We start from the raw sequence: 21,752 nt of genomic DNA, 5'->3' as shown, positions 1-21,752 counted from the left end.
ACAATGGTGAGGCTGGAGAGAGGAGCGGAATCAGGAAAAGGCTTGCAAGCTATGTACTTTGGACTTGAGTCTGAAGACATTTGAGCCTTTAAAGGGTTTTTAAGAAGTGTGTTATGACCAGAATTACCTTTTTTGGAAAGATCGTTTGTAACAGTTTATAGTAGATTATCAAGAATGAAACTAGTTTGCCCAAGGTTAGCACATGAAGGTTAGACTCAGTTAAACTGAATGGTCTAGCCTGGGGAACATAGTGAGATACTGTCTTTATAAAAAAATTTGGGGGCTGGGCATGGTGGCTCACTCCTGTAATTTCAGCTCTTTGGGAGGCTGAGGTGGGAGGATCACTTGAACTAAGGACTTCGAGACCAGCCTGGGCAATATAGTGAGACCCCATCTCCTATATTTAAAAAATAAAGGCTGGGTTTGGTGGCTCACACCTGTAATCCCAGCACTTTGGGAGGCCGAGGCGGGTGGATCACCTGAGGTCAGGAGTTCGAGACCAGCCTGACCAACATGGAGAAACCCCGTCTCTACTAAAAATACAGAATTAGCTGGGCATGGTGGCGCATGCCTGTAATCCCAGCTACCCAGGAGGCTAAGGCAGGAGAATCACTTGAACCTGGGAGGCGGAGATTGCGGTGAGCTGAGATTGCGCTGTTGCACTCCAGCCTGGGCTACAAGAGTGAAACTCCATCTCTAATAAATAAATAAATTCAAATAATTTTTTAAAAAGTATAAATTAAAAATTAAAAAAAATAGCCAGTCTTGGTGGCTGATGCCTGTATTCCCAGCTTCTTGGGAGGCTGAGATAGGAGGATTTCTTGAGCCTGAGAGGTCGAGGCTGCAGTGAGCCATGGATTGTGCCACTGCACTCCAGCCTGGGTGACAGAACGCGACCCTGCCTCAAAAAACAAAAAACTTGATGGGTCTGGCATTTGACTTAATCCTTCCCTAAATGCTAATAAAATAACAGAAAGTTGCTTTTTTTAAAAAATTTTATTTTTTGAGACAAGGTCTCACTCTGCTGCCCAGGCTGGAATGCAGTGGCTCAGTCATGGCTCACTGCAGCCTTAAACTCCCATACTCAAGTGACCTCTCACTTCAGCCTTCTGAAGAGTCAGGACCATAGATGTGTGCTACCACATCTGGCTAATTTTTAATTTTTTTTGTAGAGACAGGGTCTCATTGTGTTGCCTATGCTGGTCTTGAACTCCTGGACTCAAAGGATCCTCCTGCCTTGGCCTCCCAAAGTGCCAGGATTTCAGGTGTGAGCGTACTGTGCCTGGCCTAAAGTTGTTTTAAAAAGGAGTCAAAGGGAGAGGAGTTAATAGCAAAACTTTAGACAGATGCTGGAAAACAGACTCATTTTGCAGTGAGGTGGTAACTAAGCCAGCAGCAAAGAAAGCTTACAAGCAACCTGATTTACCATGAAATTAGTAGCATCGCTTACAGCTGGGGTGAAAGTGGTACTAAAATTAGGAGGATTATTTGAAGTTAGACCTCCAGATCTCTTTATTGACTCTATATATCTTGGCAACCGATCTCCCCCAACCCATCAGAATACTGGAGTTTGTCGGAAATGGAAAACAGGTTTTTTAGCTTAGAGAGCACCTGAGTACAGTTGAGGGCAAGGGTACTGCGTTGAAAACAGAGATTAAGCCGGCCGCGGTGGCTCACGCTTGTATTCCCAGCACTTTGGGAGGCCTAGGCGGGTGGATCACCTGAGGTCAGAAGTTCGAGACCAGCCTGGGCAACATGGTGAAACCCCCGTCTCTACTAAAAATACAAAAAATGAGCCGGGCGTGGTGGCGGGTGCCTGTAATCCCAGCTACTTGGGAGGCTGAGGAGGTTGCAGTGAGCCGAGGTTGTGCCACTGCACTCCAGCCTGGGCAACAGAGTGAGACTCAGTCTCCAAAAAAGAAAAACAGAGATTAAGTGAAAGTTTAGGGCCAGGTGAGTTGGCTCATGCCTGTAATTCTAGCGCTTTTGGAGGCCAAGGCAGGAGGATCACTTGAGCCCACGAGTTTTAGACCAGCCTGGGCAACATAGTGGGACCCTAACTCTACAAAAAGTATAAAAATAGTCCCAGCCACTTGGAGGGGCCTGAGGTGGGAGGATTGCTTGAGCCTGGGAGTTGAGACTGCAGGGAGTCCTCATCACGCCTCTGCTCTCCAGCCTGGGTGACAGAGTGAGACCCTGTATCCAAGAAAAAACAAAAACAAAAACGAAAGTTTATATAGTGAGTGGTAGTTTCCAGAACTCCAGCACAAGGCTTATACTTTCCAGGTAAGAGACTGGAAGACTCTTCTCTGGGGAATTTGGTAAGTGAGAAAAGACCTTACGATGTGAACGTCAGGGGTTCTCCAACCAGTCAGTTGGCCAGATCACCTCATACTGAAACTCACAGTTGGCAAGTCCCAACTGTGTACATGGAAATTCTAGTCAACTTCTTGGCACCTCACTCTTTTTTTTTTTTTTTTAGTTTCTTGAGATAGGGCCTCTCTGTGTCACCCAGGCTAGAGTGCAGTGGCGCAATCATAGGTCATTGTAGTCCTGAACTCCTGGGCTCAAGTGATCTTCCTGTCTCAGCCTCCTGAGTAGCTGGGACTGCAGATGTGAGCCACCATGTCAAGCTAAGCACCCGCTCTTAAATGTGAGCAGAAAGCAAAAATTTCTAGGTATGTAAAGAAACTTTCTAACATGAAAGACAGAAACCAAAATAAAAAGGGGGAGGTGGGGACAACTGTTGAAGCTTTTAGGTAAGAGATAGTATAAAACATGATTGAATCCGAAAAAGCATCCTTGGCTGGGCATGGTGGCTTATGCCTGCAATCCCAGCACTTTTGGAGGTCGAGGCGGGAGGATCACTTGAGGTCAGGAGTTCAAGGCCAGGGTCGGTATAGAGCTTTTCATTCCAGAGTCAGGCTCTCAAGGTAATTGGCAGAGAGCAATGCCAACATTTTATTGAAAGTAGATGTTGTTGCTATTGTTTATGTGTCCAGTAGGGTTGGTCCTGAGGGAATTTAAATGATGGTGCTACATTTCTTGATCCCTTCCTCCACAAACATTATTTTCAGAAGACTAGAAGGTATCAGTAACACTGCAATTTGGAGCAAGACTCCATCTCAAAAACAAAACAAACAAACAAACAAAACACCCTTGAAAAATCAAACCATGAGGGAAGTAATGAAAAAAATCTGTCACACAAGCCAGGTGTGGTGGCTCATGCCTATAATCCCAGCACTTTGGGAGGCCGGGACTGGCGGATCACCTGAGGTTGGGAGTTGGAAACCATCCTGGCCAACATGGTGAAACCCCATCTCTACTAAAAATACAAAAATTAGCTGGGCGTGGTGGCACGCATCTGTAGTCCCAGCTACTCAGGAGGCTGAGACAAGAGAATCGCTTGAACATGGGAGGCGGAGGTTGCAGTGAGCTGAGATTGCACCATTGCACTCCAGCCTGGGCGACAGAGCGTGACCCTCTCTCAAAACAAAAAAAACAAACAAAAACAAAAATCATGAAGTTGCCAAATAAGCATGTTTAGAGATAGGGAGGTAAATGCCAAAATAAACATCTAAAGGTGGTGAAAGTAGGCCAGGTGTAGCCTGAGCAACGTGAGGATACTCCATCTCTACAAAAAATAAAAAAACTGGCCGGGCGCGGTGGCTCACGCCTGTCATCCCAACACTTTGGGAAGCCACGGTGGGTGGATCACCTGAGGTCAGGAGTTCAAGACCAACCTGGCCAACATGGTGAAACCCCGTCTCTACTAAAAATATAAAAACTAGCTGGGCATGGTGGTGGACACCTGTAATCCCAGCTACTCGGGAGGCTGAGGCAGGAGAATTGCTTGAACCTAGCAGACGGAGGTTGCAGTGAGCCGACACAGTGCCACTGCACTCCAGCCTTGGCGACAGAGTGAGACTCTGTCTCAAAAAAACAAATTAATAAAATAATCAAAAAAGTTAAAAAAACTAGCTGGGCATGGTGGCTTGCACCTGTAGTCCCAGTTACTTGGGAGGCTGAGGTGGGAGGATCTCTTCAGCCTGGGGCATCGAGGAGGCTGCAGTAAGCTGTGATCATGCCAAGGGTGACAGAGCAAGACCCTGTCTCAAAAAAAAGGTGGTGAAAGTAGTTGCCTCTGAGGAGGAGGAAATTAGAGTGGGAAGGGTCTGCTTTTTATTGTAATAGGTCTTGTAGTACTATCTGATTCTTTATATGTATATATAACTTTGAAAACAAAAAGTAAAGAAAGAATGAAGAGTGAGAGAGGGCTGGGTGCAGTAGCTCATGCCTGTAATCCCAGCACTTTGGGAGTCCGAGGCGGGCGGATCATGAGGTCAAGAGTTCGAGACCAGCCTGGCCAACATGGTGAAACCCTGTATCTACTAAAAATACAAAAATTAGCTGGGTATGGTGGTGGGTGCCTGTAATCCAAGCTACTCAGGAGGCTGAAGCTGGAGAATCACTTGAACCCAGGAGGCGGAGGTTACAGTGAGCTGAGATCTCACCATTGCACTCCAGCCTGGGTGACAAGAGCGAAAATCTGTCTCAAAAAACAAAACAAAACAAAACCAAAGAAGAGAGGAAATAAAAAAGAGACGTAAGTGTAGAGGAGAGTGTTTTGTTTGGTTTGTCCTTTCCTTCTTCCTCTTTTTTTTCTTCCTCCCTCCTCTTTCCTTAAATGGAATAGACTTATGTGGGCTTATTTACCATGGAGGAAGAGCCATAGACACAGGTAGGAGAGGGGTGTGGTTTGGTGAATCAAGGTCTCAATGGAGGTGGGAGGACAGCAATCTGAGCACAGGTGGAGGGATTAGCTTTGAACTGGAGAAGGCATCTTAACCTTGGTTGTGTAGGAGAATTGGTGTAGATGTCACTGTTTGTCAGTAGGAGGTGGGAAATTGAAATTATTCATCCTTCATTGCCTAATCTCTGTGAAAAACAGAAGTCACTTTGAGCATGAGGAAGGTAGAAAATTAGTGCGTAGGTAGCTGGGCGTGGTGGCTCACGCCTGTAATCCTACCACTTTGGGAGGCTGAGGCGGGCAGATCACCTGAGGTCAGGAGTTTGAGACCAGCCTGGCCAACGTGGTGAAACCTCGTCTCTACTAAAAATACAAAAATTAGCCAGGCATGGTGGCGGGCGCCTGTAATCCCAGCTACTTGGGAGGCCGAGGTGGGAGAATCGCTTGAACCGGGGAGGCAGAGATTGCAGTGAGCCAAGGTCGTGCCATTGTACTCCAGCCTGGACAACAAGAGTGAAACTCCACCTTAAAAAAAAAAAAAAAAGAATTAGTGCATAGGATGGGAGCAGGAGAGGGAGGTAACCAGGGACATGGAGAGAGACAAAAGCTTATCGGGTGTTGGGGGCCCACCTTGGGTTAGAGACCATATATTTTTAGCAGCCCCAGATTCATACCTAGTGTCTGGTACCTAGAATGAGTTCAAAAAAGTTTGTTGGCCAGGCGCGGTGGCTGATGCCTGTAATCCCAGCACTTTGGGAGGCTGAGGCAGGTGGATCACATGAGGCCAGGAGTTCGAGACCAGCCTGGCCAACGTGGTGAAACCCCATCTTTACTAAAAAATACAAAAATTAGCCAGGTGGGGTGGCGGGCACCTGTAATCCCAGCTACTCAGGAGGCTGAGGCAGGAGAATCGCTTGAACCCGGGAGGCGGAGGTTGTGGTGAGTCGAGATTGGGCCACTGCATTGTAGCGTGGGTGACACAGCGAGAACTCTGTCTCAAAAACAAAATGTGTTGAATGAACAAGCAAGTGGTTGTATGAGCACCAACCCCTGTGTTCAGAGCAGAGAAGGGAGATAGTTGGATGGATCCAGGCTGTGGATTGAGAACAGGATTGTGAATGGAGGGTGGAGTGTGCTGATGAGATAGGGGTTGATATGGTGACCTTGAAGTATAGGCTGGAAAGAAAAGGAAGTGTCAAGTAGTGAGAAAACAGAAGGGCCAAAAGCTTTGTGACAAAACACCCAATCAGCTGGTTTTTTTGTTTGTTTGTTTGTTTTTGAGACGGAGTCTCGCTCTGTCACCCAGCCTGGAGTGCAGTGGCACCATCTCGGCTCACTGCAAGCTCCACCTCCCGGGTTCACACCATTCTCTTGCTCAGCCTCCCGAGTAGCTGGGACTACAGGCACCCGCCACCCCGCCTGGCTAATTTTTTGTATTTTTAGTAGAGACGGGGTTTCACCGTGTTAGCAGGATGGTCTCGATCTCCTGACTTTGTGATCCGCCTGCCTCGGCCTCCCAAAGTGCTGGGATTACAGGCATGAGCCACCGCGCCTGGCCATAAGCTGTTTTTTTTTTTTTTTTTTTTTTTTTTGTGTGGCTATTATAACTGACTACATGAAAATAAATATAAAAAATTTTCCTAGTGTATGAACCTAAAAAGCAAAAAGAATTTTTTTTTTTTTCTGAGATGGAGTTTTGTTCTTGTTGCCCAGGCTGGAGTGCAGTGGCACAATCTCAGCTCACTGCAACCTCCACCTCCAGGGTTCAAGTGATTCTCCTGCCTCAGCCTCCCGAGTAGCTGGGATTACTGGCGCCCGCCACCATGCTCAGCTAATTTTTTGTATTTTTAGTAGAGACGGGGTGTCACTATGTTGGCCAGGCTGTTCTCGAACTCCTGACCTCAGGCGATCCACCCGCCTCGGCTTCCCAAAGTGCTGGGATTACAAATCACAGGTGTGAGCCACTGCGCCCGGCCTTAAGAAAGACAATTTAAAAAAATTTATCTGTTATTGAAAATACAGGAAGCCAAATGTTTGGAAGTAGACAGAGGGGATTGTTGTACAACATTGTGAGTATACTAAATGCCATTGAATTAGACTATTTATTTATTTATTGAGAGAGAGTTTTGCTCTTGTCGCCCAGGCTGGAGTGCAATGGCGAGACCTTGGCTCTATAAAAATACAAAAATTAGCCAGGCATGGTGGCACGTGCCTGTAATCCCAGCTACTCGGGAGGCTGAGGCAGGAGAACGGCTTGAACCCGGGAGGCGGAGGTTGCAGTGAGCTGAGATTGCGCCATTCCACTCCAGCCTGGGTGACAAAGTGAGACTCCATCTCAAAAAAAGATAATAATAAATAAGTTAATTAAATAAATAAAAAGGGCAGTTTCTCAAAGTGTGTACTAATTAAAAATCCGGATTTTTGGATTCTTCTTGGGACCTTGTGACTCAGAATCGGGAAAGGTGGAGCCCAACTCTGGATTTTTACCATGGCACCCCGAGGGTTCTGATTCTCCTGAAAAAAATTTGAGATCGGCCAGGCGCGGTGGCTCACGCCTGTAATCCCAGCACTTTGGGGGGCCAAGGTGGGCGGATCAGGAGGTCAGGAGTTCGAGACCAGCCTGGCCAGTATGGCGAAACCTTGTCTTTACTAAAAATACAAAAATTAGCCAGGCGTGGTGGCGTGTGCCTGTAGTCCCAGTTACTCGGGAAGCTGAGGCAGAAGAATTGCTTGAACCTGGGAGGCAGAGGTTGCAGTGAGCCAAGATAGCACCATTGCATTCCAGCCTGGGTGAGAAAGCAAGACTCCATCTCAAAAAAAAAAAAAAAAAAATTGAGATACCTGGGCTTAGAGGTCAAGGAGCAGGTGCACGGGAGTCGGAGGGATGCTGGAGATGGTATTAGGCGGGATGGTTCTTCCGTTCTTCCGCATGAGAAAGTCCAGGTTCTGCAGGGGAGGCTGCCGCCGTGGCGGGGTAAGCAAGGTCACGGGCCTTTTGGCAGTACTTAAAGCTTGTGGGTAAATGGCGATTTAACTAGAAGTCACGAGTCATAACATAGACTAAAGGCCTGTGCGAGCTGTCCCCATCTGGCTCAGCAGCCAGAAGGAACTACTTTGCCTCTGGCTGTCTCTGTCCCAGTCTCTCTGGCCTCTTTAGGTCCCAGATGTGTTGTTTCCTCCTGCCTTCACACGACACTGCCATTGCCCAGAATGCTCATCCCTGGACGGTCCCCGAACTCCCCTCATCTTTCACTTCTCTGCTTAAAGGTCACTTTCTCAGGGAAATCTTCCCCAAACCCAACCTAGCTCAGAACTCCCTGTCACGCGTTCTCCTGGCTCCAGTACTTCTCCTCTGAAGCAAAGATATTGTAGTTAAATAACTAGGGAGGCCTGGCGCGGTGGCTCACACCTGTAATCCCAGCACTTTGGGAGGCCGAGGCGGGTGGACCACTTGAGGTGAGGAGTTTGAGAACAGCCTGACCAACATGGCGAAACCCCATCTCCACTAAAAATACAAAAATTAGCCGGGAGTTGTGGCGGGCGCCTGTAATCCCAGCTACTCCGGAGGCTGAGGCAGGAGAATCACTTGTACCTGGGAGGCGGAGGTTACAGTGAGCCGAGATGGCACCATTGCACTCCAGCCTGGACGACAGAGCAAGACTCTGTCTCAAAAGAAAAAAAAAAAAAAGGGAATGAATTAATGTGTTTTTGTTGTTGTTGTTGTTGTTGTACTGCTATACTATGCCTGGTACTTTGTAGGGACTCAAATCCAGATTGTTTGTGGAATGCATGAAGGAGCTTTAGGAGAAAGATTGGGCTTCAGGAGTGGAAGCAGATGATGGAGGTGAGAAATGTTCGTGGAGTGATGCTACCTCCCTCCAGCCCAGCCTGGGGCTTCGGTCAAGCCTCAGGGAGTCCCTGATGAATATCCCATGAACAGCACTAAGATGTGGTCCCTAGGACAGGGGCCCACGGCAGCATGACGTTCTTGCTGCCCAAGCCTCAGCTTCTGTGTTAGAATGTAGGTACCAGACTCCAGAGACGTCACGTGGCTTGTCTGGTGAGGCCTGCGGTTGTGGCACCGCTGAGCCACAGGAGCAGATGGCTCGAGCAGCCATAAGGAGCAGTGGAAATGAACGCGACTCGGTCACAACAGGTCACAGGTGGTCATGTGCGTCGGCCGCAACAGGGAAGGGCCTGCCCTGGCTAGCTCCCGTGAGCATCTGTGTGCAGGCGAGTTAGTTTAGTTACTGTGACCTCTAGAAATGACTAAGTTCACTTTGTGGCCTTATCAAGCCTCACCCTTGAGTTTGGACTAAGTCAAGTTTTGATGTTTACCCTGGAACACAGCCACAGCACAGTCATCCAATAAACATTTGCTGATAGCCTCCGTGTCAGGTGGCTTTTGGGTGCAGAAGAGAGACTGGGTCCTCCCCCACAAGCTAACAGAATCATGGATAAGCACACCATACACTCTCTAAACACTACAGAGAAAACACACACTCATGCTTAGTAAAAGATTTATTTTCTTCTTTATGCTCAGAAACAAAGAAACGGCCTTGTCCCCAAAGGGTCTCCTCTTGAAGGAATGGGGGCAGAGAGAGTGATAATGGGAGGTGTTGGTGTGAGGTTGAGAGTAGGAGTTTTGTCTCCCCCTTTCCCTCCTGTCACTCCTCTTTTCACTGTCCCCTTCCAGAAAATTTAGGTATGAACACAGCTTGCCACCCACGGCGGGGCTGGAGAAGCAGAGCTGCAGTCAAAAAATTAATGCCCACATTCAGCAAGAGAGGGTCCAGTGTGTATCTTGGGGGGATGGGGGAGAGAGTGTGAAGGGATTGGTTGAAGAAGCTTCCAGGTGAGGGGAAGGGAAGAGGGGCTGGGACAATCCCCCATTGACAGTGGGGATCTTAATCCTGCCCTCACCTCTCCCAACCCCATCCCCTCCCTTCTTCCCACCCCGCTTCCTAGCAGAGTTGATCATCATAGTCGTCATCCTTCATCCCCTTCAGCCGAAGCCGGGCAAAGTCCTCAAACACAATGTCATCATCTGTGGCATAGCTTGGTGGTGGGAAAGAGGGTTGTGAGGTGAGGGCTTCTGACTCTTGTCCCAGCCTCCCACTCCCTGCCCTCCCCGAAGCTAGGCCTCTGGGACAGAGGCGTTCGAACAGCAGTGGGACCAGAGGTATTTACAGGAAGGGACAAAGAAAAGGCAGCAAGAGGCAGCCTCACAAGGCTAAGGCATCTTGATTTGATGCTACAATCCGCTTCTCCCCACCAAAAGCAAGGAAGAGGTATGAGGGCAGATTTGAATGTTATAGGAATCTTTGTCCCAAGAGGGTCAAGTAGGGGAATGAGTTTCTTACTTGGTATCAAATTCAATGAGGTTGGTGTCCACAGGGACATCTGTCTCCGGAGCGGCTGGGGGGACGGGAAGAGGGGGTGTGGGGGTGGGTGCTGGAAGGGCCAGTTTTCCTCCACTGGCCCTGCTTCAGGCCCTCCCTCTGAGGGCTTGGGGTGGGTAGTGTGCTCACCTGACTGGGGTCTGGGGAGGGGGATGTGGTCGTGGGGCTTGGGGTGCATAAGAACAAAAGGCAGCTCCACAGAGACATCCCTGGGGAAGGGGAGAGGCATCGTGAAGAGGACGACGACATGGGACTAGAGAGAGCCAGTGTGACCCCCACCCAGGCTCCCCCATGACACTCACCCGCCTCGAGACACCACCAGCTTCACCTTGACCCTGTAGGACACCAGGATTCCCAGCACCTCCTTGTTGGCACCCTCCTTCACGCTGCAATTGAGGGTGTTGGAGTCAGACCAGGGCCTATCACCCTGTCACCTGGCCCACCGTGGGGTTCCCACGGGGACTCTGGGCAGGACCACAAACTCGCACAGGCCCCCAGGGCCCCAGCAGCCCAGGCCGTGCGGTTATGGTACAGTGCGCACTGCACTCCCTGCTCAGAGCCTCCTTGGCTCCTCTCCAGGAAAAGCTGACGTCCTTCTCCGCTAACAGCCTTGCACCGTCTGGCTCTCCATTAGCCCCTGACCTCACCTCCTCCTCCTCTCCTGGTACTTAGTTCTTCTCCCTAAGTTGCCCTCCGGGCCTGCTGTGTGTGGCTGTGCAGTGAGAACCCTGAACAAAGGCATCCGGAGAGGTGAAATCCAGCCCTTTGTGAAGCTGGGGACCTCCAGGGCTGCTCCTGCCCGAGGGCACGATGGCACCTCCCCATTCCTCCAACACCCCAGGCTGCCCCACCTCTGAGTCTTTGTTTTCTCTCTGCCCAGAACCCTCCTTTCCTGCTCACCCACATTGCTTACTTCCGCTGGGTCCTTACTCCGAATTCACCTTCGCACCTCACTGCCCCCCATCCCTTCCTTCTCTGCCTGGCTTTTTCTCCTTCATACTTGTCACTAAACCTGCTGTACAGTGACCACTGATCAGATTTGGCTATCCTCCCTCCCCTAGAATGTAAGAGTTCTTTTTGTCTCTTCTGTTCACTGATACATCCCTGGCACACTAGGATAGAGCACTGAACCGACGTCTGGCCCCTGGCCTGCAGGGGACCCGCCCCAGCCCCACCCTCACATGGTGCTGGAAGCCAGGTTGGTGTCCTCGTGCTTGAGTTTCCCATCCAGGGCGAGACCCCGCTTCTCCCGGTTGTCGCTGAGCAGTGGGGTTATGGTGTACACCTTACAGAATGTGGAGCTGGGAGATACCTGGTCACTGGGGGTGGGGACAAGAGAACAAGATGCTTAGGGGCGCTGGGCTGGGCAAGGGGCGGCCTATGACCCCCAAGCAGCATCTCCCCCTCACTAGTCCCTTGTTTCTTTGGGCACAGGTCACAAGGGAGTAGGTTTTGGCTCAACGTGCTCAAGAAAATTAACAGCCTGGAGCCTGGCTGTGGAGGGAATACCCTTTTAAGTGAAGATGGTGGCCGGTCGCGGCGGCTCACGCCTGTAATCCCAGCACTTTGAGAGGCCGCGACGGGTGGGTCACTTGAGGTCAGGGGTTCGCAACTAGCTTGGCCAACATGGTGAAACCTCGTCTCTATTAAAAATAAGCCGGGTATGGTGGTGCATGCCTGTAGTCCCAGCTACGTGGGAGGCTGAGGCAGGAGAATCGCTTGAACCCGGGAGGTGGAGGTTGCAGTGAGCAGAGGTTGCCCCATTGCACTCCAGGCTGGGCAACAAGAGCAAAAACTCCATCTCAAAAAAAAAAAAAAAGGTGGAGATGGCTCAGGAAGAATTCTTCCTCCACCTCACATTCTCCTGATCCTGCTCTTCTCCCCTAGATTGGAACATGGGTCTCTCCCGATACTCACTCTTGTTCGAGTTGAGCCACAGGACACTTGTACTGGGCGGTGCTGAAGAGGCAGATGTCGGCGTACTGTCTCACTGTGGGGTGGGACGGGGTCAGGCAGCTCTGGATGGAGCACAAGCCACCACCACACCACAACTCCAGACCCCGTGGCGTGGCCCCCCCATGCTCCCCACTGAAGCAGTAAACACCGAGGCTCCCCGTATCATTATGGAACAACCTAAATTCTTTGAGCCCTGGTGGGTCTCCCGCACTGGGAAATGGCCTGGGCTGAGATCACACCAGGAGCCACCTGTGCAGTAACGCCCTCCCCGAAGACCCCCTTCCAAACCCCACCTCCTACCAGAGACTTTGATCTTCTTGACGGTCTTGGTGGAGTTGTTGGTGACGTGGACATTTACATTGAGGGGCTCCCCATGGTAGTACAGCTTTTGGGGGGAGGGGGTCATGTGAATTGGAACTGGTTTTCACTGTTCCCATCATCAGTGTGTCCCCAAACACAGACACATTGTTCTGGCCCCCTCCCCTCAAACCCAAGCCCACGGCAACTGTCCACACCCAGCCAAGGCAACCTCCTTTACAAATGTCCTCTTGATGTGTGGCTTCGCCCCTCCCCCAGGGTCTAAACTGCACCGTGGCATCCGTGTCACCCTCTCACGCCCCACCTCCTTGTCCAGGGAAGCCTCGAGGTGCAGGGACCGGTCAGACATGAGGAAGTGGCGTGTGGTTTCGGCTGAAGGCTGGGGGCCGGGTTTCTCCGGGGCGAACTGCACCTTTCGGATCACCAGCCGCACAGAGTTCCTGGGATCAGAGTAGGGGCAGGAGGGGTCATTCCTCACACACCCCAACCCTACTCCTCCCCCGCACGGGGCCTGGGCTCCTGGAAGCGGGGAGGAAAGCCTCCTCTTACACCACAGAGGAGGTCACTTCCCTTACCTTTTGTGGCTTTTCTCTTCTAGTGATTTAGCACAGAAGGCTCGAATCTCAAAGTCTACGCCGCAGGCCTCGGGGAGGGGAGAAAAGGCCACATCTTACCGGAGGCTCCCGCCACCATCACTGCCCTTTCTTCCTCCCCCTTCCCTCCTCTCGGGCAGGGACTCTTGCCTCATTGTGGTCTCACGACCCTGGGGACTAAGTCTTCTTCCTCTCCAAAGCCCAGAACCTGGCAGAGGCTTGGTCATGGTAGTGCAAGGGGAGCCCCCATCCCCAGATCCATGCGGGTCCACAGAGCAGGAGGCAGTGTCATGCGTGCACAATGACCACCACATACGCCCCACTTCCACGGGGGACACTGGCCTACCCTCGGCCCCACCCTGGCATCTCGACAGTTCACCCTCTGGCTCAGCTGTGCCTCCAGGCTCCTGCTGGCCCATGTCCTGCCCTAGGAGCCCTCAGAGCTGTTCCTCCCGTACCTTTCCTGTATCCTCTGGGCCTGGCTGCAGTGTGACGGAGCATGGAAGATTCTGGGGTATCTGTGGCGGAGGAAGGAGAAGACTTCAGTTCTTCCAGAAAGCCCCCAGATCTTCCTCCAAATCTCAACCTAAGAGGCTGGAGACGCTGGGTGTGGTGGCTCATGCCTGTAATCCCAACACTTTGGAAGGCTAAGGTGGGCGGATCACCTGAGGTCAGGGGTTCCAGACCAGCCTGACCAACGTGGCAAAACCCCATCACTACTAAAAATACAAAATTAGTCGTGTGTGGTGGTGCGTGCCTGTAATCCCAGCTACTCGGGAGGCTGAGGCATAAGAATCACTTGAACCTGGGAGGCGGAGGTTGCAGTGAACCAAGATTGTGCCACTGCACTCCAGCCTGGGCGACAGAGCGAGACTTTGTCTCAACAACAACAAAAAAGAGGCTGGAGAAAGGACTCCTGGGGATGAGAAGGGAAGAAGGAAGGGGCCCCAGAGAGGAGGCAGATAATCAAGGGCTTCCTGAATGCACTGGGACCCTGAAGGGAAGTGGATCTAGGGTCCCTGCCTCACTGTTTCTTCCAGATCTGCCCACAGCAGTGCCTTACCCCCACCCCAGACACAGTCCCAGCCCCAGCCCCCTGGCCCTCAGAGGGCAGGGGCATCCTCACGGTGAAGAAGAAGGGGTGGGCATGCTGGCCCAGCTTCCTCAGCAGCCGGTCCTGCAGGCGGGTGGGGGGCCGGGGTGGGTTGGGCACCGGGGGGAAGGCCTGGTAGGTGGCGATGAACAGGTCTTTGCGGAAGGACAAGCCCAGCACATCCAGGTCTTCACGGCCATAGCGGAAGGCGCAGGTGAGGGTCACAAACACTGGCAAGGGAGGGTGAGATGAGTGGTCAGGAGCCCCACTTCCCCAGTCCCCTGGCACCTAGCAGCCGCTGCTCCTCCCTCAGCAGCATAAGACTTGCCTGAACCCTACTCCTGGCTTCCACCTCCAGCCTCCATCTCTCTGGGGCGCCCTTCCAAGGCCAGCCCATTTCACTTCCCTAGCCCCCACTTTCCCTGGGCCCCCTGGACTTGGGGCCAGTACCTTTGCGGTCCTTCAGGTAGTCAGGGTCCACAAGCACCACGCCATCTAGGAGGGGGACACACCAGCTCACTTCCTGAAAGGGCCGCTCCCCGCTTTCCTGGGCCCGGGAACTTCTTCCCCTCTTGGGGAACGAGCTGTCCCTTTCTGGGAAAACTTACCTACAGGGTCCACTTTGTCCAGGTGATCTACGAAGTCCCGCTTGCCCAAGTACACGGTGAGCTGAGGATGTCAAGGGGTCACAGGGGAGATTGGGGAGGATGGTGACAGGGCATCGGAGCCCTCAAAACTGGCTGCCCTGCCCGGGGATCTCCAGGCTGGGCTATCAGGAAGGAGTTGTTCCAGGTTTCCTCCCAATAGTGTTGGAAAGTGAGGGTGGTGGCGTTTCTCAGACTAGTGGACCTTTAGGCTTTTGAGCTGCTCCTTTATCTCTGCACACCTCTGCCCACCAGCCCGGTGTGTGTGTGTTTGTGTGTGTGTGTGTGTGTGTGTGTGTGTGTCCTCAGCCAACCAGTCAGGTGTGTGTGTGAACATGTATGTGCATGTGTGTCTGTGTGTGTCCTCAGGGAGGACTCAGCCCAACCAGCGAGGTGTGTTTGTGTGTGTCCGTGTGTGTGTGTGTGTGTCCGTGTGTGTGTGTTTGCATCCTCAGGGAGGACTCAGCCCAACCAGCCAGGTGTGTGTGTATGTGTGTATGTGTGTGTGTGTCTGTGTGTGTGTGTGTTTGGATCCTCGGGGAGAACTCAGCCCAACCAGCCAGCTAGAGAGCAGCTGCCACCCTCACTAGGTCCCCTCAAGGGGCTCTAGGATAAATAGGCCATAGCCCGGGGGCTGTTAGGTTTTCCCAGCCCCACGCACCTTGGGTTGGCTCCTAGGAGGGCTACAGGCACATGGCTTGCTTTTGGCCTCCTCCTCTGTGGTCTTGCTTGGGGACCCAAGCCTGCCCCACCCAGCCCTGTGGCTGGCTCAGGCTGAGCAGCCTCTGCGGCAAGGGGCTTCAGGAGGGAAGGAAGTCGGCGCTTAGCTGTCACAGGAAGTGGGGAGCTAGGGGTTGGGGATCATCTTTGGGTAGGTTGGGGATCGTCTAGGGGAAGGCTGGGCTTTGTTGGGGCCCAGGGAGGGTCAAAAGGGTAAGTGCTGTGGAGACTCACCTTGCAGTTAGGGCTCGACTTCTTGAAGACCCTAACAAAACAGAAAGGGAAACCCCACTGCCTCCCTCAGACTCAGCAGGGACCCCACACCAGGACCCTCTCCCTCCCAGGCCTGAGAAGCAGTGCTCACCCAGGCCTCCTGCCTGAGGCTGTGGGGCTTTGCCCAGCTCTGCCCCTTTCCCCTTCTTCCCGGAAGGTCCTTCCTATTTCTAACGTGGTGGCAAGGGGAACCCTTCTTCCCGGAAGGTCCTTCCTATTTCTAACGTGGTGGCAAGGGGAACCCTTCTTCCCGGAAGGTCCTTCCTATTTCTAACGTGGTGGCAAGGGGAACCCTTCTTCCCGGAAGGTCCTTCCTATTTCTAACGTGGTGGCAAGGGGAACCCTTCTTCCCGGAAGGTCCTTCCTATTTCTAACGTGGTGGCAAGGGGAACCCTTCTTCCCGGAAGGTCCTTCCTATTTCTAACGTGGTGGCAAGGGGAAATGCCCCTTGTCTTGTCCACCCTCATTCGTCCCCTTCCCTCCCCAGTAATGGCCACTGGTTGCCCTAGGAACCACCCAGGCTCTTCCCAGAGGACCCGAATGGGCAGGTAGCCACAGTGTCTGGATAAGACCTAACCATCTTTCCATCTGGTCTACAGCTCTGACAGCTGGAGCATATAGGAGAGCAATGACCCTGGCCTTTGGCCCTCAGATAGTTTCTACCACAGGCCCTACCCAAGTTCGACTCTACTCACCTCCAACTGTCCCCAACTCCGACCTCAAGAGCTTAAAAGCCTATTTGTCTTTTAAGGCCCAGCCTTTAGGAAGCTGACCCAGCCCAGACCCTGGTCGCTCCTTGTTTTGGGTTCCTGTCACACCTTGTTTATGTTTTACTTGTGGTGTGGTAGCACACAAGGATAGTTAGCTCCCTCCCTCCTCAGACTGTGAGCCTCAGAGGCCTTATTAATTTAGGCATCTCCAGCACAATGCCAGCCATATCATGAAGATGGTAATGCTGCTAACATTTCAGAGTGACTACTCCATGCCCAGCACTGTTCCAAGTGTTTCAAATGTGTCATCTCTTGTAATACTCTGTTTTTTGAGACAGAGTCTCACTCTGTTGCCCAGGCTGGAGTGCAGTGGTGCGATCTCAGCTCACTGCAACCTCCGCCTCCCAGGTTTAAGTGATTCTCCTGCTTCAGCCTCCTGAGTAGCTGGGATTACAGGAGTGAGCCACCATGCCCGGCTATGTTTTGTATTTTTTTTTTTTTTTTGGAGATGGAGTCTCACTCTATCACCAAGGCTGGAGTAGAGTGGCACGCTGTCAGCTCACTGCAACCTCCACCTCCTGGGTTCAAGCGATTCTCATGCCTCAGCTTCCTGAGTAGCTGGGATTAGAGGTGCCTGCCATCATGCCTGGCTAATTTTTTTTTTGAAACGGAGTCTCACTCTGTCGCCCAGGCTGGAGTGCAGTGGTGCGATCTCGGCTCACTGCGACCTCTGCCTCCCGGGTTCACGCCATTCTCCTGCCTCAGCCTCCCGAGTAGCTGGGACTACAGGCACCCACCACCACGCCCGGCGAATTTTGGTATTTTTAGTAGAGATGGGGTTTCACTGTGTTAGTCAGGATGGTCTCAATCTCCCGACCTCGTGATCCACCTGTCTCAGCCTCCCAAAGTGCTGGGATTACAGGCGTGAGCCACCACGCCCGGCCGCTAATTTTTATATTTTTAGTATAGATGGGGTTTCCCCATGTTGGCCAGGCTGATCTCAAACTCCTGACCTCTAGTGATCCGCCCGCCTCAGCCTCCCAGAAGGCTGGGATTACAGGCTTGAGTCACTGTGTCTGGCCTGTATTTTGTATTTTTTTAGTAGAGACGAGGTTTCCCCATGTTAGCCAGGCTGATCTCCAACTTCTGACCTCAGGTGATCCACCCGCCTCAGCCTCCCAAAGTGCTGGGATTACAGGCGTGAGCCACCGTGCCCGGCCTTAGGTTGCAGTGAGCTGAGATTGAGCCACTGCACTCCAGCCTGGGTGACAGAGCAAGACTTTGTCTCAAAAAATAAATAAATAAATAAATTAATTAAATTAAATAAAACCACCCAGTGATGGAGCTCCTAATATCTCTGTTTTACAGGTGAGGAAACTGAGGCAGAGAGAGGTCAAGTGTTTCAAGGTCACAGAGGGAGTAAATGGTGGGAATTAATAGAAACCAAGGCAGTCTGGCTCCGAGTCCATCCTCTCGATCAATATTACACTATCTGTCTCTGCAGTTGGCATAAATAGTTTGTTGAATTGAAGGTTATTTGCTTTCCAGTTGCTGAAACAATTTAAGCCTGGACTCCACCCATTGCTGGGAGGGTAAGGAAGTGTTTGGCAACCCCAGTGATCTGGCCAATTGTGGGCCTGTTCTTTGAAGCACCACCTTACTCCTTCCAATCCACTCTGCCTCAGCAGTGATCCCTGGAAAGGATCCTCAGATAGATAGCAGAAACGTGAAATCCTGCCAACTAGCCCATCCCTCTTCCAAGTCTACCACCCCATTCCCAGAGGACCCCAATGGGCAGGTTACCACAGTGTCTGGGTAAGACCTAACCATCTTTCCATCTGGTCTCCAGCTCTGACAGCTGGAGCATATAGGAGAGCAATGACCCTGGCCTTTGGCCCTACATGGTTTCTACCATAGGCCCAGTTTCTGCTACAACTTCACTTGCCCCTTCTTCCCAGAAAGCCAAGCTGTCCAAAGGTTGTAAGGCAAAGGGTATGGAGGGCCCCAGGTATTCCTAACCAATAAAAGAGAATACACATCGATATGGTAGCCGCTAGAATAAACACCCTATCTTTCATCCCAACTTGGGAGCTGAGTGCCGTGGCATCATCCAGGCTCTCCCTCCCCTTTGCTTCTGGTTTTCCTCTTTGTCCCAGGGTGTCCTCCCATTAGGAGCCCTGGCACAGGGCTGTGACAGCCACAATCAGTGGGCCAACTGGAGTGTGGTTCTGGGGCAATTGCCCTGGAGCAGCTGCAAGGCACTTGCCCTTTGGATCCTAACCCAGCCACCTCCTGCCAGGCTGGGGAGGAGCAGCGTGCATATACTAGGCTGGCCAAGGAGGCAGAGTGTGGGGATGACCAGGGAGGTGCCCAGTGGGAGCAGGGGTAGCTGAAGCAGATGTCCTTTCACACTTCCTGCTATTCGCTCCATTTCCTGTGGCCCAGAATTTCATGGGGGTGAGGGAAATTGTGCCAAGTTAGCAGTCTCCTTTGGTCCATCCGTCCCACTCCCTGAACCACATGACGGAAATCAGGGGCCTCCCACAAGTCAGCAACTTCCCCTTTCTCTGGGATGTTTAAACCCTGATCCAGGAGACGGATCATCTCTCTGATGATCTCTTTCTGATGCTCGTCTACTTGATGCTCAGAAACCCGGGTTCTCATACTCTATAGGTTGGAAGTGGGGTTGATATGATGTTTTGCAGAGCAAGCCAGAGCTCAGGACCAATTCCCTATTCCTGATACCCTCTGAGTTGAGGCCTACAGCCCCAACCTTTTCGTCTTTTGCTCCCGCTCCCCTGCGACTCAGGCATCCACCCCTTGCCCCTTGGGGGTGTTGAGTCACAACAGGAAGTGGATTTTGCTAGAGACCAAAAAAGAGAACTCGGGGTATCAGTGGAAGGAAAGAGCCTCGATTGCACAGAAAACATCCGGGGAGTGGACGCGCGCCCAGGGTGAATACTGCCTCCCCCACCCCCAGAGAGAGGGATACGATCTAGTTTCAGGGAGGGTCGCCACGCACTCGGCTCCCCCAAGATGAAGCTGTTGCTCCTGGCAACCCAAGGGAAGGTAGAAGTTTGGGTGAGGAGCCACCCGGCCCTCGGGACAGGTGTGGGCAGCGCGACTACCTGGGGGATATTGGATAGGAGGCTTTCCATTGGCTTGGCGCGAGTCTGGAGTGGATCCCCCCCGTCCCGGCATCCAGCCTCCCCGTACACGACCCCTCGGGGCCAGCCACCTGCTCCTCCTTCCTCCATCCCTGCATCGCAGCCTGCACGGGAGAGCCCAGTAGTCTGGCCCCACATCCCTGCGAGAACCCCGACACCGGTTTTTCTGATCCCCCTCAGGCCTCGCTTTCTGCAGGGGCCCGGGCATTTCCCCCCCACCCTCATTATCCTCGAGGACCTGCGCGTGCGGCCCCGGATGGCTGTCCCTAGGGACCCAGGCGTCCGGCCCCCAGATCCTCTCCGCTGCGCCCTCGTCTGGGACCGTCCCAGCCCCCGCCCCGAGCCGCCGCCCATGCCCCGCCGCGTGGCCCCACCTCCCTTACCTGGTCCCGGGTTTCTCCCCCATGGTGCGCGCGCCCGCCGCCCGCTCGGTTCGCGGCTCGCTCGCAGCCTCCTCGCCCGCTGCCAAGATCCCTGCTCCTCCCCGCGCCAATGCGCACGCGCGCCCTCCGCGCTCTCGCCTCTTCCCCCTCCCTCCCGGCCCCGCTCTGGTCTTGGGGAACCGGGGCCAGATGCGTCAGCCGGATCGCGCGCGCCGCGGCGCTGCCCGCCCTCTCCTAGCAGACACGCGGGGCCATTGGCTCCGCCCCCAGCCCTTCGCGCTCCTTCCCAGCCTGGTAGCCCTCCCCCGCGCGCGGGGCCAGCTCCCACTCCTCCCGCCCATCTCCCCGCCCCGCTGCAACCCCTTGAAACCGATTGGACCCCCCTAAACCAAGGCGCCCGCCTTCCAGGGGATCTAAGTCTTTCGATTGGCCTTCGGCATCCAGAACCTGCAGGGGTCTCCTCCCCTTTGTTTGCTTTCTCAGTGGCGGTGGGGGCGACCGGGCTGCTGGGGGCGGTGGAATGAGCTGAAGCGCCGTCTGGGAAGGAGGATGGTGGGGGGGAACACGTGGGTGAGCGGTTCAATTGCGTGATGCTTGCTTCAGTGCGCGCCGCTCACCTGCTCCACTCGGAGCGTGCCGCCTTCTGTGGCCAGCCCTCCCGCTTCTTCACTGCAGCGTGTCAGCTCCTCCTGGTGTTTGCATTTGATCTTCGCAGGGTTCCCTTTTCCAATGTCTCTGACTATCCATCTCCTTCACCCACCCATCCCAGCTAACATCCACTCACTCACCCGCTCCCATCCATCGGTCCATCTATGGACCCATCCATCCGTGCCTATGTTATGCTATTCACTATGCCAATCGATGGGGACACATACGAATTACCATGGCCCCTGCCTTCCTAGAATAGTTGAGGAGACACATACACAGGTATTACCCAGGAATGCTATTACAGAGGTCTGAGTCAGAAGACACAGCCGCTAACAGCAATTGGCCCGGGCGGGGGTGGAGGGAGTGCAGGCTGTCCAGAGCGGGGAACAGATGAGGACAGTCTTTCTGAAGGATGCGCAGAAGTTTTTTTTCTTTTTCTTGTTTTTTTTTTTTTTTTTGAGACAGAGTCTCACTCTGTCGCCGAGGCTGGAGTGCAGTGGTGAGAGGTGACAGCGTGCTGGCAGCTCTCACTCACTCTCGGCGCCTCCTCGGCCTTGGAACCCACTCTGGCCGCGCTTGAGGAGCCCTTCAGCCCGCCACTGCACTGTGGGAGTTCCTTTCTGGGCTGTCCAAGGCCGGAGCCGGTTCCCTCAGCTTGCGGGGAGGTGTGGAGGGAGAGGCGCGGGCGGGAACCCGGGCTGCGCGCGGTGCTTGCGGGCCAGCGCGAGTTCCGGGTGGGCGTGGGCTCGGCGGCTCCGCACTCGGAGTGGCCGGCCAGCCCCGGGCAGTGAGGGGCTTAGCACCTGGGCCAGCAGCTGCTGTGCTCAATTTTTCGCTGGGCCTTAGCTGCCTTCCCTCGGGGCAGGGCTCGGGACCTGCAGCCCGCCATGCCTGAGCCTCCCCTCCCCCTCCGTGGGCTCCTGTGCGGCCCGAGCCTCTCCGACGAGCACCGCCCCCTGCTCCAAGGCACCCAGTCCCATCGACCACCCAAGGGCTGAGGAGTGCAAGCACATGCGGACTGGCAGGCAGCTCCACCTGCGGCCCCCAAGCGGGATCCACTGGGTGAAGCCAAATGGGCTCCTGAGTCTGGTGGGG

General features: G+C 53.4%; 1 protein-coding gene across 18 annotated transcripts, besides 7 other annotated features; it reads right to left on the bottom strand.

Moving 5' to 3' along the window:
• Positions 4,833–5,033: a silencer, noted in NCBI's record as "peak2699 fragment used in MPRA reporter construct". NCBI's record gives its function as "represses an SCP1 promoter by STARR-seq MPRAs in K562 erythroleukemia cells {active_cell/tissue: K562}" and the evidence as "EXISTENCE:reporter gene assay evidence [ECO:0000049][PMID:32103011]".
• On the bottom strand, positions 9,257–20,122 carry ARRB2 (arrestin beta 2). Of its 18 annotated transcripts, none has more exons than XM_047436066.1 (15): positions 20,010–20,122; positions 15,711–15,767; positions 14,721–14,781; positions 14,563–14,607; positions 14,146–14,342; positions 13,478–13,537; positions 13,002–13,069; positions 12,731–12,866; positions 12,409–12,493; positions 12,070–12,142; positions 11,334–11,471; positions 10,455–10,538; positions 10,282–10,361; positions 10,114–10,204; positions 9,257–9,808 (listed from the first exon to the last, which is right to left on the bottom strand). In XM_047436066.1, the coding sequence occupies exons 8-15, from the start codon at positions 12,773–12,775 to the stop codon at positions 9,715–9,717; spliced, it is 690 nt and encodes a 229-aa protein (XP_047292022.1). In that variant the 5' UTR covers positions 12,776–12,866; positions 13,002–13,069; positions 13,478–13,537; positions 14,146–14,342; positions 14,563–14,607; positions 14,721–14,781; positions 15,711–15,767; positions 20,010–20,122; the 3' UTR covers positions 9,257–9,714. The 18 variants fall into 18 exon arrangements, 17 of the variants coding, with proteins under 17 accessions (XP_047292022.1, XP_047292023.1, NP_001244257.1 ...); XM_047436067.1 differs by having other exon boundaries at positions 10,114–10,168; NM_001257328.2 differs by having other exon boundaries at positions 10,114–10,168; positions 14,083–14,342; positions 15,711–15,741.
• Positions 11,303–12,502: an enhancer, noted in NCBI's record as "CDK7 strongly-dependent group 2 enhancer chr17:4621547-4622746 (GRCh37/hg19 assembly coordinates)". NCBI's record gives its function as "activates an origin of replication core promoter dependent on BRD2, BRD4, P300/CBP, MED14 and CDK7 cofactors, with strong dependence on CDK7, by STARR-seq in HCT116 cells {active_cell/tissue: HCT116}" and the evidence as "EXISTENCE:reporter gene assay evidence [ECO:0000049][PMID:35650434]".
• Positions 13,037–13,206: an enhancer, noted in NCBI's record as "experimental_47220 CRE fragment used in MPRA reporter constructs". NCBI's record gives its function as "activates a minimal promoter by MPRAs in K562 erythroleukemia cells, with activity observed for the introgressed 17:4620928 variant allele {active_cell/tissue: K562}" and the evidence as "EXISTENCE:reporter gene assay evidence [ECO:0000049][PMID:34662402]".
• Positions 15,623–15,692: an enhancer, noted in NCBI's record as "active region_11545". NCBI's record gives its function as "activates an Ori minimal core promoter by ATAC-STARR-seq in GM12878 lymphoblastoid cells {active_cell/tissue: GM12878}" and the evidence as "EXISTENCE:reporter gene assay evidence [ECO:0000049][PMID:35858748]".
• Positions 19,876–20,405: a silencer, noted in NCBI's record as "silent region_8042". NCBI's record gives its function as "represses an Ori minimal core promoter by ATAC-STARR-seq in GM12878 lymphoblastoid cells {active_cell/tissue: GM12878}" and the evidence as "EXISTENCE:reporter gene assay evidence [ECO:0000049][PMID:35858748]".
• Positions 19,876–20,504: a biological region, named in NCBI's record as "ATAC-STARR-seq lymphoblastoid silent region 8042".
• Positions 20,335–20,504: an enhancer, noted in NCBI's record as "experimental_47218 CRE fragment used in MPRA reporter constructs". NCBI's record gives its function as "activates a minimal promoter by MPRAs in K562 erythroleukemia cells, with activity observed for both the introgressed and non-introgressed 17:4613630 variant alleles {active_cell/tissue: K562}" and the evidence as "EXISTENCE:reporter gene assay evidence [ECO:0000049][PMID:34662402]".

This window comes from Homo sapiens, chromosome 17 (assembly GCF_000001405.40).
Source record: "Homo sapiens chromosome 17, GRCh38.p14 Primary Assembly".
NCBI lineage: Eukaryota > Metazoa > Chordata > Mammalia > Primates > Hominidae > Homo > Homo sapiens.
The sequence above is the reverse complement of the archived record's forward strand: the minus strand, read 5'-3'. Positions and strand labels throughout refer to the sequence as shown.

Excerpts from the sequence above, each read along its gene's own strand:
- ARRB2 (XM_011523858.3), bottom strand. The coding sequence starts at position 19,980 with ATGGGCGGCGGCTCGGGGCGGGGGCTGGGACGGTCCCAGACGAGGGCG. Across the intron at positions 13,538-14,145 it reads CCCACCCCTTCTTCTTCACC|ATACCCCAGAATCTTCCATG; the intron begins GTGAGGATGCCC and ends CCTCCGCCACAG. Across the intron at positions 10,362-10,454 it reads CTGGTGGTGTCTCGAGGCGG|GGATGTCTCTGTGGAGCTGC; the intron begins GTGAGTGTCATG and ends CCCCTTCCCCAG.